This window comes from Homo sapiens, chromosome 2, assembly GCF_000001405.40.
Source record: "Homo sapiens chromosome 2, GRCh38.p14 Primary Assembly".
Lineage (NCBI taxonomy): Eukaryota > Metazoa > Chordata > Mammalia > Primates > Hominidae > Homo > Homo sapiens.
The window spans coordinates 40,129,208-40,143,769 of record NC_000002.12 but is presented as its reverse complement, the minus strand read 5'-3'; the positions used below and the strand labels follow the sequence as shown (position 1 = coordinate 40,143,769).

The 14,562-nt window shown below is 40.2% G+C and overlaps 1 protein-coding gene and 1 long non-coding RNA gene across 24 annotated transcripts in view; one reads left to right on the top strand and one right to left on the bottom strand.

Moving 5' to 3' along the window:
- The window catches only part of SLC8A1-AS1 (SLC8A1 antisense RNA 1), a 337,576-nt gene that overhangs the window by 111,440 nt on the left and 211,574 nt on the right, over window positions 1-14,562 (bottom strand). The gene's annotated exons all lie outside the window — the stretch shown is intronic.
- The window catches only part of SLC8A1 (solute carrier family 8 member A1), a 415,166-nt gene that overhangs the window by 368,666 nt on the left and 31,938 nt on the right, over window positions 1-14,562 (top strand). For all 23 annotated transcript variants that reach the window (NM_001112802.2, NM_001372263.2, NM_001394106.1 and 20 more), the window contains one exon: window positions 4,094-4,369. In NM_001112802.2, the coding sequence (NP_001106273.1) occupies window positions 4,094-4,369 (276 nt within the window). The remainder of the gene's footprint in view (window positions 1-4,093; window positions 4,370-14,562) is intronic.

Here is a 14,562-nt window from a genome sequence, read left to right as displayed (position 1 = left end):
TATATGCAAAGCCCAGGGGGTTGTCTTTCACCGTCAGTCATGCTGATGATGCTCTTGCTCTCATGTTTCCGAGCAGGAACGGTCCAAGTACTGTTACATCAATAGCTGAACTGACACCCTGTGCACTATCTGCATTTTTAATGATTTGGTTACTTTTGTAGTTATATTTAAGAAGTCCAGTGTGTATCAGGGAAGCCATTTAAAAGGCAATAGGAAGGGTTAATCAAATACAGGTTATTTTCCATTAGCTGAAAAGAATGATTCTGAGATAAGAGGAATTTACTTGGGATTCTATAAAAGCAAACCCACCAACCTGTCTTTCTTTTCTAACACAGAGAAGGGACTTGAAAGAATTATGTAGCCTCCAGGAACCCTAGGCTGGTGAACATACAGAACCACAGAACAGGCATCCTACCATCATTTTTGCTGTCACATAAAAGATGCTCCTAGGATTTTTTAATGTTTCACTACTCTTCACAAAGAAAGAACAGACTTTTAAGTGTAGTCCAGATGGTGATGGATGAACATGATATTTCTTTGTCCTTTCCCAAGACAGGGTAATTGTGCATCATGCATGGCAGTCCGTGGTCATTTTTAATATTTAAGTGATGTCTGAGTTGGAGATTAAAATTTATAAAGAGCAGTGAGATCCCAGAGAAAAGGATGGGAGGCCACTTTCCTTTCAAATGTTATAAAAGCAGATGGGCCTCCCATTCCAGACTTATGCATTAAAACATTTAAGATTCTTTGTGATATTGGAAGCCTACAGAAAGAACACACGTTCTCTCTCTCTCTCTCGCTCTCACACACACACACACACACACTCACACACACATTTTGCATTAATTGATCATGAAGGTAATTTCAGAGGGCAAAATTAATTTTTGTTTTTAAAAACCTATAATGTAACCTTAGGACCTAGCATGTTGACTAAACAAATAATGATGGAGAAACACAGTAACAATCTTAAATGGAGGGAAATAATGATAACTACCATGATAATCATTACCTTGAAATATTCTCAGACACTTTACAAACATGATCTAATTATTCCTGTGTACATCTCTCACGGGAAAGGTGTTATTTCCATCTTGAAGACAAATATAATGTCTACTCTCAATTTATAAATGGCATTTCTTCTGAGAAGCTTCATTATTTGTTCTCTTGTTCGTCTTCAAAATAAGAGATTTAGATGCCCCAAATTAAGTAATTTTGTAGAGAAAAGGCAGCATAGTTCATGTTTCTGTGAATGATTGATTAAAATGCTTTCCAAAGCATTTTATTCATATGCCCTGTGAAATTATAAAATGTTCACAAATATAGAAATTAAAAAGGATAGGATCCAAAATAAATATAACTAGAAAACCTAGTGCTTTTTCTCAACTTTTCTGAGTATATGCACCCTTCTCAGCCCCGGCTGGAATGGGGAGTGGGTAAGAGGAGAGCCTGGGAATGGGAATGTATTAATGTGACTTTCTTCTTCCTTCCTCCTTCAAATAAACCCTGAGAATTGCATCTCTAACATGGAGTTCTACCTGGAGCTAAAGTGTAGGGTAAAAGAGAAGTGGTAAGGAAAGTAAAAGAAAGAAAAAAGAAGAAATGTATAAGGAAACAAACAAAAAAGAGTAGGTAATAGAAACACTGAGTAATTGTTCCTACATTTCCACGTCATGATATAGAGAGGCTTCTGAAGGGCTGCTGTAGTTTGCTAGGGCTGCTGTAATAAATACCACAGACTGGGTGGTTTGAATAACAGAAATTTCTTTTCTGGCAGTTCTGGGAACTGAAAATCTGAGATCAAGGTGTTGGCAGGTTCGATTTCTCCTGAGGCCAATCTCCTTGGCTTGTAAATGTCTGTCTTCTCACTGGACACTCACATGGTCTTTCCTCTGTGCACGCACATCCCTGGTATCTCCCTGTGCATCCCAATTTCCTATTATAAGGACACCAGTCATATTGGGTTAGAACTCACCCTAATGGCTCTGTTTTCACTTAATTACATTTTTAAAGGCCCTATTTCCAAATAAGGTCACACTCTGAGGTGATGACAGAGCTTTATCATATGAATTTTGGGGAGACACAGTGCAGCCCATACCAGGTGTTTTTATTAAAAAGTATCTTCTGCTTCCAGGTAAAGTTGATATAATAAATACTGCATGAACAGCAGAGCAAACGGTCAGCAATGCTTTTTCACTCACAAACATTCTGATGAGCTGACCTGACTCAAGCTCCTCACTGGGGAGTTCTCCAAAGGCTATTCCACTCATCTGCAATGGCTTCTCCCAGCAGTTTATCCAAAGCCTCAAAGATGAGGCTGCTTTCTTCACAGACGCCCAAAGTGTATTCATATAATTCCAACCATGTGCTCATGAAAGAGCAGGCCATTGCCTCTTCTCTTTTCCTGTAAAATGACAGAGGACAAATCCAGACATTCCTCTTTAGATGTTTTCTGAGAGGGGTTTTTCCCTCAAATCTCTTGTGCTTTCAGAGGGTCTTCTCAATCATCATCTGCACCCAATGGCTTGCCTACCACAGAGTGTCTCACGAAGACCATACATGTGTGCTCCATGCTGGCCATCTCAGGTCACGTGGTTCAGGTGGAAAATTGCAGCCCCACCTACTGCCGGCTGCACTAGTGGGACCAAGTAAAGTAGCACCCTGATGACAAGGTTGGAATGGGTCAACAAAGACTTCAAGGAGATGTTCTTCTTTCCAAAATGGCCACATAACACATGTATTTGCCACCACTTCAAGAAAAGTTGACATTCAATATCCTCATTTTAAAACATGTCAATGGGCATTATTTTCACATAAGTGAAATCTCCATTTTAGATTACTATTATTGATTTCCTGGTTCCTTTAAATAGCATGCTTTGTGCATTTCTTTGTACACTGATAATATGACTTAATTGGCAAAATTGTGATATATATATATCAGGTAATTGCATAGTTATATAAAGTCAATAGAAATTTCTGCATGCACTCCTTCATTTAATACATACTTAACCACCTTTGTTCACATGCTGGAGATGGTATCAAACAGCAGGGACACAAAGATGCATGAATTCCTGCCCTGGAAGGGTTCTCAGTCAACTGGAGAAGAGAACATGAACATGTACAATTTAGAAAAGCGGTTCTCAAACTTGACCATGCATCAGTATTACATGGAGGGCTTGTTCAAGCCCAGCTTGCTGTCCACCCCCTCCCCAATTTCTGATTCAGTGGGACTGATCATTTGAATTTCTAATAAGTTCTCTGTGCCACCTGCTCAGGAAGCACATTGTGAGAACCACTGATCCAGAGTTACAAGTGTTGGGAAGCTCCTCTGAGAAGGAGTTCCCAGCATGGGTTTGGGGGGAGGTCAGAGAGTGCATCACAGAGGAAGCGAGTCTTAAAGGATGGGTGAGGAAGGATAAGGGTGGAGCGATTAGGATATGCCAAGCACATTTAGTTCTAAAGAACAAAAGTAGGAGAAAGTGTATCTGGTTTGGAAAAATGCAAATAAATTTCATTTTTTGGCATATAATTATTTGGCAAGTAATTCCAAGGCTTGAGTTTGAAATAGTTGCAGGAGATGACGCTGGAGAAATATGCAAGGCTCAGAGCCATGATTAACGGCCCTGTGTGAACATTATCCTGTAGGTGATTATATAACCCAGAGTTGGACTTCAAGTTGCAAGAAAAGAACCCTAGTAGAACTCCATCTATAGTTTTCTTTCTTCAAAAGAGGGTTATTTCTCAGGCTGACACAGGGCTTGCCAGCCTTTTGGAATAAATCATTTTCATTTCTCTGAAGTGACAAGTCTTACCAGATGTGAAAGTAGAAAGGGTGTGTTGATTGCATGGATGCAGAACTGGGTAGGGGTTAAGTTTTTGCCATTGACCAATGAGCCACAGGTAAGAGGCATTTCAGTGTCTTGATAACTAATTCATTAGTTATGATTAACTCTTGGAAAACCCTAAACTTCACCCACCTCTCATGGCCTCCTGTCACAGAGTGGAGGGATGACCGACCTAGATAGGAGAGATTGAGAGAGAGGAAGACCCGGCAACACAGGTTGTGATGAAATGTGCTTCCTTCCATTCTCTCTAGGGGAAGATGATGACGACGATGAATGTGGGGAAGAGAAGCTGCCCTCCTGTTTCGATTACGTGATGCACTTTCTGACTGTGTTCTGGAAGGTCCTGTTTGCCTTCGTCCCCCCTACTGAATACTGGAATGGCTGGGCGTGTTTCATTGTCTCCATCCTCATGATTGGCCTACTGACAGCTTTCATTGGAGACCTGGCTTCCCACTTTGGCTGCACCATTGGCCTGAAAGATTCTGTGACTGCAGTCGTGTTCGTCGCACTTGGAACATCAGTGCCAGGTACAAATTACATTCATGTATAATTCCCCCAGTAGCAGAAGTTCATTTGCCTTCTTGACACTTTCTTTCCTACAATTTCAAGGGCTGTGATAACAAACCAAGACCTATGAAAGACGAGAGCCCTGAGGTATAAATAAATGTTACTGCCGGAACATTGTCATGGCCCTTCTCAAGGTTCAAAAGCCGGTCAGTGTCATTGCAATGACAGGAAAGCATCCCAGATCCCCAGAGGGTCTCCACGGCCTGTAAGAGACCAGATTGGTTTGATGGATAGATTTTCAGATCAGCTTCCCATTGCAATGAGCACTTTTGAAAAGACAAAACAAAAATATAGAGTCAGCTTTAAGAACCAAATTTCTGTCTTTTATATACTTGGTACATTTTAATGATCTCTATGAAACTGTATTCATTTAGGTAACTAGGAAAACGTACTTACTGGAGACCTGATAAAATATTCTCTTGACCCAAATATTAATGAGACAAAAGAGAAAGTAGGCATTGATCAAGACAGGAAAAAAGTAATCCTGACAAAAGTGGACAGGCCAAATGTATATTTCATGAACATCCCTTCATGCATTCCTTACAAGCTGAATTTTTTGTCTGACCTGCAACTATACTTTATTATGTTTACTCATATTTCTGAGTAAGACATCATCTTCCCAAACAACATTGATAGCAATAATTTTCAAACTTTGGTGGGGATCAGAATTACCTGAGAGCTTGTTAAGAAATACAAATCCCTAAGAACCATCAACAACCTCTGGAAGATCTAGGAGTGACAGGGCCCAGGAATGTGGGTTGTAAAGCTCACAAGTGACTCTGGTACACACCAGAGCTTATTGTAACTGAAACTCTGGATCTAGTCTCCAGCACTAATTAGCATCTTGACAGATATATAGCCTTTACTTTGAGCAACAATACCCACGTTCTTAACCAAATACCAAGCCAAGGACAAGCATTACAGTAGACTTGGGAAAAGGCAGGACTAGAAGCAAATACAGCTGTGCTAATGGTGCTATTCACTGTCCACTTTCCATATTTCCCACAGTCCTGAGATAGTCACTTTGTTTTCTACTAAAGTTTGCCATAGTTGTCAAGCCTGACTTTTGGTTTGAGTCTGAAAACAACTACAGTTTAAATCATGTATTTCTTTCTACTCAAATTCACCAGTTATTCTTCTTCAGGAAGCTATTTATCGTCCAGTGACTGTGGCCAAGTTACTTCACCTCTCTGAGCCTCAGTTTCTTCATTTAAAAAATAGGGATAATCATACTTAACATGCAGAATTATGGTCAAGATTGGAAAAAAATACCTGCAAATTATGCATCTAGTAAAGCACCTGGGACATAGAAAAAATTTAATAAAATTGTATTTCTGGTGATTTTTATATTGAATAAGTTAGGATGATCTGAACAGTATAAATCTGGACACTTCATTCATTAACCATGGATGAAGTATCCAGATTTATACTGGTCAGCCATAAGGCATGGTGTTATGCAACTGACTGCCTGCCTGGGGGTTCTGATTAAAGACTCCACATGCTTCTGGTAACCAATTAAGGGAATGGAGGAGCTAGGAGACCTAGAGGGTTCTCTTACTTTCACCTTAGCAAGCAGGGCTGTTTGAAGTCGTTCAGTTGACCATCGATCCTTACAGAAGAGCAGACTCCCTCTCAATCCCAACTACGTTCCAGCAGTTCCATATTGGTCCTTTTCTTTGCATCTTTTTCCAGAGTTACCAGAAATTTACCAAGCAGAAGGAAAAACTTAAAATATTCTTAAGGTGTTTTGATTAGAGACTATATATAAAACCAAAGGAATCAACATTGTGGTTGTCCGTTGCTTCTATCTGAGGTAATTATAGGAAAATATGTTGGAGTCCACTTTTCCTATGGTTTAAGTCACTGAATCACATTGTGTCCAAGTTAGCACACGCTGTTGGTCATGGGTTTAGTCTCTGAGGAGAATATGTGCAAATAATGATCATAAAGGCAAAAATTAGGTCTCTTATAACAATTGTCCAAAATCAGCAGTTTATCCAACCAAATACATCTCTTGTTTTCAAAAGGATTTAAAAAATGCTTTTCCTATCTGAAATCCTTGTTCCTGAAAGTGTTTTTACTCCCCAATACCTCTTATCCAATATACCCTCAAGCTGGCTTTTTCTAAATGTCAGTCTTCCAAAAGGCCTCTGTGTGTCTCTTGTTTTAAGAAACTCTTGAAAATTGTGGCAGCCTTATAATTAAAATTTTTCCCTATAATATGAATTATGGATTACAGCAAACCTTCATGTTTAGAGGAGTCACTTGTTCTGCCACTTAAAACTAACTCAGAAGCCAGGTGGAGACATCAAGAGGTAAGAAAATCTGTTTGGGGAAAATACAACAGAATCATTTGTTGTTGAAACAGTTTCCCTACACTGCCATAAATGCTTTCCATCGGGACGCAGATTTCTTTGTGCTGTTATTGAGAGAATTCCATAATTTGCTGCAATATTAACTGTGCAGCAAGCTCCCCAAACAATATATTCAGAGGTAATCTCAGACAATCATATCTATATAAAGACATTTTTTCCAAAAACTGAAAATTGAACAGGCTGTTGGATGAACATCACATTTCTGACTTTATTTTTTGACCCTGCTGATTCAGAGCAATGTTTTATTATATATCCTGACTCCTAAGAAAAATGATGCTATTGTTTCTAGGTGACAAAGCCCAGTTGCTACAGGCAGAAGAATAAAGAAAAATAATTCCCTTCATTTATAGCCTACTATTTAGTCAGCAGCAGTCCTGGGGCCCAGCGTTTTCTCTAGGCCCATGTTTTGGCACTTTTCCTGAAACAGAAGGGCTCTTTCCTAGTGTCTGATATTCTGCTGCTTCTTTCTAGGTTAGACTTTGGGATTCTTAGATTCTAAAGGCCAGACGGACATTGAAAACTTTCCCGTTAGTCCTCCTGCCTCAAGGAAGGAATTAATATCTATATATCTCATCAAAAGTGTTTTTACCATACTATTCAAAATGTATGGGGAAAAGCTTATACATTTTCAAGTGAGACAAAGCTTCTTCCTTGCACCAGCTGGTAGCAAATGCTCATACTCTACTGGCAGAGAAGGATTCATAAAGGTCTTCACTTACCCTCAATGTTAGGTGTTTTGGCAAGAGCTTGAAGACCCGTGCCTGTGAATAGAGAAAGGGCCTCCTCTTCCCAAATCACCATTTTTCAGACTTACTTCTCTGGAGAAAGAGGCTTCCCAAGTAGCCTCTTCCCACCTTTAAATGTTGGAGTAAGCCCAAGACTGGTCTCCATCCTTCTTCTCATCTTGGTCCATGCTTACTTCCTGGACATCAGTCTCCATGGTGTAAATGACATCTATATGCCAATGACTGCTAAATGTATATCCCCAGCCTCAATTTTCCTCTAAGTGAAAGATTTATGTACTAGCTGTCTTCCCTATATTGATGCCAGACATGTAATTTGCAGCTCAGAATTACTGTATCTAAAACAGAACTGTTGATTTCTACTGCCCAATGGCCTTATCCTTTAACCAAACCTACTCTTTCCACATCTTGCCTTTCTCAGGAGAACAAGTCATATTCCGTCCAGGTATCCTTGATTCCTTTTTCTCCTCCCCATGGTCAAAGGTCCTACAGATCTTTATTTTTTAATTGTATTTATGTTTTTTTAAGATGGAGACTCGCTCTGTCGCCCAGGCTGGAGTGCAGTGGCACGATCTTGGCTCACTGCAACCTCCGCCTCTCGGGTTCAAGCAAGTCTCCTGCCTCAGCCTCCCGAGTAGCTGGGACTACAGGCACATACCACCATGCCTAGCTAATTTTTGTATTTTTAGTAGAGAGAGGATTTCACCGTATTGGTCAGGCTGGTCTCAAGCTCTTGACCTTAGGTGATCCCCCTGCCACCCCTCCCCTGCCGCCCCCAAAGTGCTGGAATTATAGGAGTGAGCCACTGCACCTGGCTGACCTTTCCTATAAAGTGTGTCTTGTTTGAGCCCATCTAGCTATCTCTCCACCACCACCATCCTAGTCTACACAGCTGTCCTCTCTCACCCATATCTCTGCAGTAGCCTCCTATCTGTCTCCCTGCTTCTGCTAGAGATCATCTTAAGCGGTAAATCAGGCCAGACTACAGCTTATAGTCTTCCAGTAACTTCTTATTTAACTTAGGATAAACTCTGAAAAGCATCACTCTGTCTTACCAAGACCAATGTGATTTGGCCCCTGCCTATCTTTCCAGTCTGTTCTCTTCCTTGCCTGCTGTTCTTTGGGCCCATGGGCCTTTTTTTCTATCCACACACCAAGCTCATTCCTTTCTTTGGATTGCACTAGCTGTCTCATATCCCCTTCATTTACACAAGACTGGCTGTTTGTCTTCAATTACATCTCATCTTAAATGATATCTTTAAAGAGTCCTTTCATAATCACCAACTGTGAAGTAGTCAACCAGTTCTTATGTATTATTTCACTCTATTTTCTATATTTATTACATTCTGGATTTTTTTAGTTTACTTATTTTTGAATGTTATTATTTTCTAACTCTGTCCACTAATCTAGTGCCTAGAATGGTGCCTAGCTAACACAGAAGTAATGCAATTGTGTATCTGTGTGTTTGTCTTTGGGTTGTATATGTAAATACATGTACAAATCAGTCATTTACACATTAGTACAAGTTGGTTCAATCAGATTGCTTTCTTCCTAATAACTTCTAGCGACAGTTAAGAATTGAAATTATTGAGGGAGGTAAGTAGATGATTTTTAGTGTTGCTTATTCTTGAATAGGACATATCTGAGACGGTTATTGTAGTAAGAAGGGACAAAAGTTAAAAGCACTGAGGACCTCAGAACAAACATTTTTCCTCTTTCATAATTTTGGCTATGGTGGGAACTGTGATGAGGAGCAAGGTATTTTTTTGGTATTTTCTTCATTCTTTTCTCTTCTATGATCCCTTCTCGCAAGACCCAGACCTCAGGCCAGTACTTTTAAAACTTTAGGTAGACCAGGTGCGGTAGCTCACACCTGTAATCCCAGCACTTTGGGAGGCTGAGGCAGGCAGATCACTTGAGGTCAGGAGTTCAAGACCAACCTGGCCAACATGCTGAAACCCTGTCTCTACTAAAAATACAAAAATTAGCTGGGCGTGGTGGTGGGCACCTGTAATCCCAGCTGTTCGGGAGGCTGAGACAGGAGAATGGCTTGAACCCGGGAGGCGGAGGTTGCAGTGAGCCGAGATTGCACCACTGCACTCCAGCCTGGGCAACAGAGCAAGATTCCATCTCAAAAAAAAAAAACACAAACAAACAAACAAACAAAAACTTTAGGTATACTCTGGAGTGCTGAATTTTGCAGTAGCCTAACACAAGTGTATCACTATGTTATGTATCACATTATTTCTATGGAAAAACAGGTTCAAAATAAAGGGAAAAAATTAAGAAGGAGCATTTGGAGCCCAGCCTTTTTTTGGACTAAGGGCCACCTAGTCATTGGACATTCTTTTAGCTTACAGTTATTTACTTGGATAAGCCTTGGGTATATTGGGCCAGGACATTCCAGCTTATATCCCAGATTCAAAATATGGACTTTCCTTTCATGTCTTGTTCCTATTGGATTCAAATAAATAGAAGTAAGCATCCTCCTTTAACTGCAGGGAGAACTCTGAGATACTGATGAGTCGGTGGGGGGGGGGGATTTTTGCCCCATTAAGTCTTGCCTTCATCTTTCTCTGCGCGTCTTGGTGGGGGTTGTGCCTGATGCTTGCTGACTTCTCCCACTAGTTCCTGCTACCAGCTGGTTGCTACTGGGCCAGAAAAGCTTAAAAATTGGGTATGATAGGCTGTCCTTTAGTTTCTGGCATTGTATGATTTTCTGTGTCCTTCCTATGTTTCGAATATTCTTTTATCCCTTGGATTCTGTCAAACATGAATTATTTCCCTCTAAGGATTTTAAGGCTGAAGGAGAAGGAAATAGATGGTTTTGGTTTCCACCCCCCCCCCCCCCAATTTTGTATATAGAACCTTTTTAATAAAATAAAACCTTATGTTGGGGAAAATTTATGTCATTTTTAAATTGCAACACTTTTCGACTTCTGAATTCCATAGAAAGAACTTGATATATAAAACTGGTTACCCTGGTTGTTCACCATGTTCTCTTAGCGTGGTGTTAACGACTGTGCACCAAGAGGGTAGAGGGACAAGAGCTTTAGAGCTGAATTCAGGAACCTGGACTTCTAACCCTTACTTACTGCATGGCTTTAACCAATTTCTTGACTCTCTGGGCCTGTAAAATCAGCCTAATGATACATGGCAATTCAAACAAACTTTTCAAGAAGATTAAGTAACAGCATGGATCTCAGAGAATGTATCAACTGAAAATTGGTATAAAATACAGGAAACTATTATCATTATTTACACTGAGATCAACTCTAAAAAAATGTCAAAAGGAATAGAAAACACCAGAAAATGAGAATAAATGGGAAAAGTTTTGAGCAGAGAAGGAACATTTTTAAAATTTACCACAAAGCTCCACTATATCTAGGCATAAGCACTGTATATACTTTATCTATTATCTTACTTAGGTTATGTCATTAAGTGATGTGAACTGATTTTGCCTCCTTTCAACCTTTATTTTTTTTGACGCTTAGATCCTTCCCCTGAAAATGATATTTTTTTCTGTTTGTTCAGCACTGTGCTACAAAACATTATATTATTTTTAGTAACTGAGAAAAACAGTTAGCTATTGATAGCTTATGTTTTTCAGTTTTTAATTTTCTGGCTTCTAATAACTCTCAAAACTAAGATATTCTGTAGAATACTTAAACAGCAAGTACTTTACAATTTACTGGGTCCTGTCGCTTTACTTCTCGGTGGACCATCAAGTAACTTGTATGGTTGTGCAGGTTGTATGCTACATACTCCAAGAGGCCCCATAATCTGAGTGACCCTCCTGGAGCTGTATAGGGTACAATATGCCTGGATGTAACTCCAGTGGCCCTGTCTAAAATCACTTAATAGCTTATAGGAGAGTGAATACAAGTATCCTCATGTTACATGAAGAAACTAAAACTCATAGAGAATAAATGACTTGTCCATATTTAGCCAAAGTTTGTAGGGATGGTAAACTGTGGAATCCATGTTATCTCTCGTTTTTATAATCTGGTACTTAGCTACTCTATCGTGCCATCTTGGACTTATTTTTAAAGTATTGCATATGCTCTTTTCCATATGCCTCACAAACGTTTTAAGAAATTTTTAAATTTCTCTCTTTACCTCAATTTTATTATTTTTTACTTTTAAGGCATGCAACAGTAAGATTACATTTAAACTCTTCAAGGTCAGGAACTATTATTCTGTTTGGCATGAAAAACACCTAATGGAGTCCATGCTTTCAAAAAAATTCAGAAATGAATCAAGATCCAGTTCTATACCTGTAAACTATTAGCATTTCCTGTATGTAAAAATTTAATCACTAAGACAACTGAAAGATGTTCAGTTCTGACCCAGCTGGCAAAAAAAAAAAAAAAAAAAAAAAAAATAGAATACCAAGATAATCCTCATCAGCACAGCCATGTGCCACTAATGAATCTGAACACAAAGAGAGATTTGGTCTTCCCGAGCTAGACCAAACACAGCTGTGATACACAGCTACCCAGGTGCCGGTCAGTGGGGCCCAGGAAGGGCATGTTGAGGACACCCTCCTAGCAGTCATGTTCTGCCCAGGCTTACTGGCAGCTTTGGAAATTACATTCCAGTGTTCTAGATCTCTGAGCAGAAGTAGGAGTGGGAACCATAGAGGTTAATATTCCAAGGTCTCACCAACCAGTAAACACACTCAGTCTACTCTTAACAGCAGAGAGGTGGTCAGGAGCGAACACAAAAATGCCCACTCATCACAAACATGTTCCCCTTGGGAAACTGTACCCAGTCATTCTGAATTCTGAGCTCCCTTGAAGGACAGCAGGGAATCAGATTAATTCCATCATTTCTTCTCATCCCATCCTACTTCAAATAGATGTGTTGTTCTCAGTGCAAAGCTCACAGATAGATTGACAGTTAACAGCCTCTGTCTCAGAGAAGTTATGCAAAGTCTTAGCACAATGACTACGTGCTGAGGGGTTATAAAAGAACATGAGCTTTAGAGAGGCAGGTAGACCTGTGTTCAAACCCAACCCTCCCTCCGCTACTTACTAGATGTATGACATCCCCAGAGGCAAATTGCTTAACTCCTCTAAGCCAGAATAATAGGAACATGAAAATCCATCTCACAGAGTTGTAGTGAGGATTACATGAGAGAGAATTTATAAAGTACCCAACACAGAGCCTCGCATATAGTAGACCCTTAAAAATGTTGGATCTCCCTTACTTTCTATTTCAATGCACTGATAAACAAGTTAGGCCTCCTGGGTTATTTACCTTAGCTACATTGCAGCAATTGAAAACTGAAAAACTAAGTAAATTTTCAGCCTATCTTCATTTTTCCCTATGGTAGGAATTCTAGTGAGGTGGACATATCCAAATGTGCTTCTGTTTCCTGCAGTTTCACTGACCATGAGCTTTCTCCTCTCAACATTGACATTTCAAGTCAGATAGCCAGTGTCAAGAGGTGCCATTGTGACAGTGTGCATACATATTTAATTGGATGGCTACATTTCACATCAGCTTAAATGGAAAAGAAAACAGAGTGACTTTACCCTAAGCCAGTATTTCCCAGTGGCTATGGTGTCAGTTTCCCCAAGAGGCTACTAAAGGGCAAGTATATTTTGTTTTCACATACTCTAATAAGCAACACGTTTCTTTACTACCAAAAAAGTTCAGTACTGCTGAATGGACCCTCAGATCTGCAGTCAGGCCAAGAGGCAAAGCTAACCAGGGACACTGCCAGACGGGCAGCACGGGACAGCCCTAATCACTCAAATGGCTTTCCACAGGACCTTATCTTAACCTCACTTTAGCAAGCAGCAGTCTGGAGTTTAAATGCTTTGTACTTTCCAGCACACTTTCCCATGAATAGATGATGTCATTAGAGTTAAAGGAAGCCTGCAAAGGCAAACATTTTTGAGGAGAGAATGAAACAAAAGAAGGCTAGCAACCAGAATTTACAAGATTTTCTCTATAAATGGCACCATAACTGCCTGTTATCGTATACTAAGAAACAGTGGGGAATAGGCCGCATGCAGCCGACCCAAAGATTCTGTAAAAACCTGGGAAAGATCCATTTCAAAGCTCTTTGCATCTTTTATTCTTTCTCCTCAAAGGAAGAGTTTTTTTATTAAATACTTTTAAGGGTTTTTTGTTGGTAGTCATACTCCTTATTTCTCTCAAAGGGCAGTACTGCATGGGCACCTGGCATTGAGTACAAAGCTGGAGGGGAATCAGGATGATAACAATGATGTCATTTACCAGGAGGTGGTCCAGGGAGCAGGGATGCTCAGCATGTGTCCTGCCCAATCTGAAGTCCTGCAGAGCCTTTGGATTAGTGCCCCAACCCCATACCAGCCAACTTTACTCAGTCCCATAAAAGTCACAGTGTAAGAGAAGAGAGCTAAAAATATTTTATTCTATTCTATCTAGGCCTTCTTACATACTCTAGGTTGGCCAGAGCAAGGGCACTTGGTAGAAACATCATGCTGTACAGGTGTGCGTTCATGTGTTTTGTGTTTGGAGGGTTGGTGTTATGCATGTGTTATGTGAATGAGTGTAAATTTCCCTTTCTTTTGAGGCTCAGGGTGTATTGCAAAGGGAATGAGCATCGAGTGTAGCAGAAGCATTCACAAGAGTGTCAGTCTCTAAGGAATGATTTGTAAATAATGTTGAGTTGATGACTTTTATTTCTCCCTTTTCACATTTGAAATGAAGGTGGCCAGGTGTGCTGGCTCACGTCTGTAATCCCCACACTTTGGGAGGCCAAGGCAGGAGGATCGCTTTAGTCCAGGAGTTCGAGATGAGCCTGGGCAACATAGAGAGACCCTGTGTCTACAAAAAAAAAAAGTTTTAAATTAGCTGGGCATGGTGGTATGCACCTGTTGTCCCAGCTACTCAGGAGGCTGAGATGGGAGGATCACTTGAGCCCAGGAGGCCAAGGCTGCAGTGAGCCATGATCATGCCATCACACTCAGCCTCAGTGACAGAGTGTGACACTGTCTCAAAAAAAAAAAAAAATGAAACATCTCAAGGACCACTGTTTTC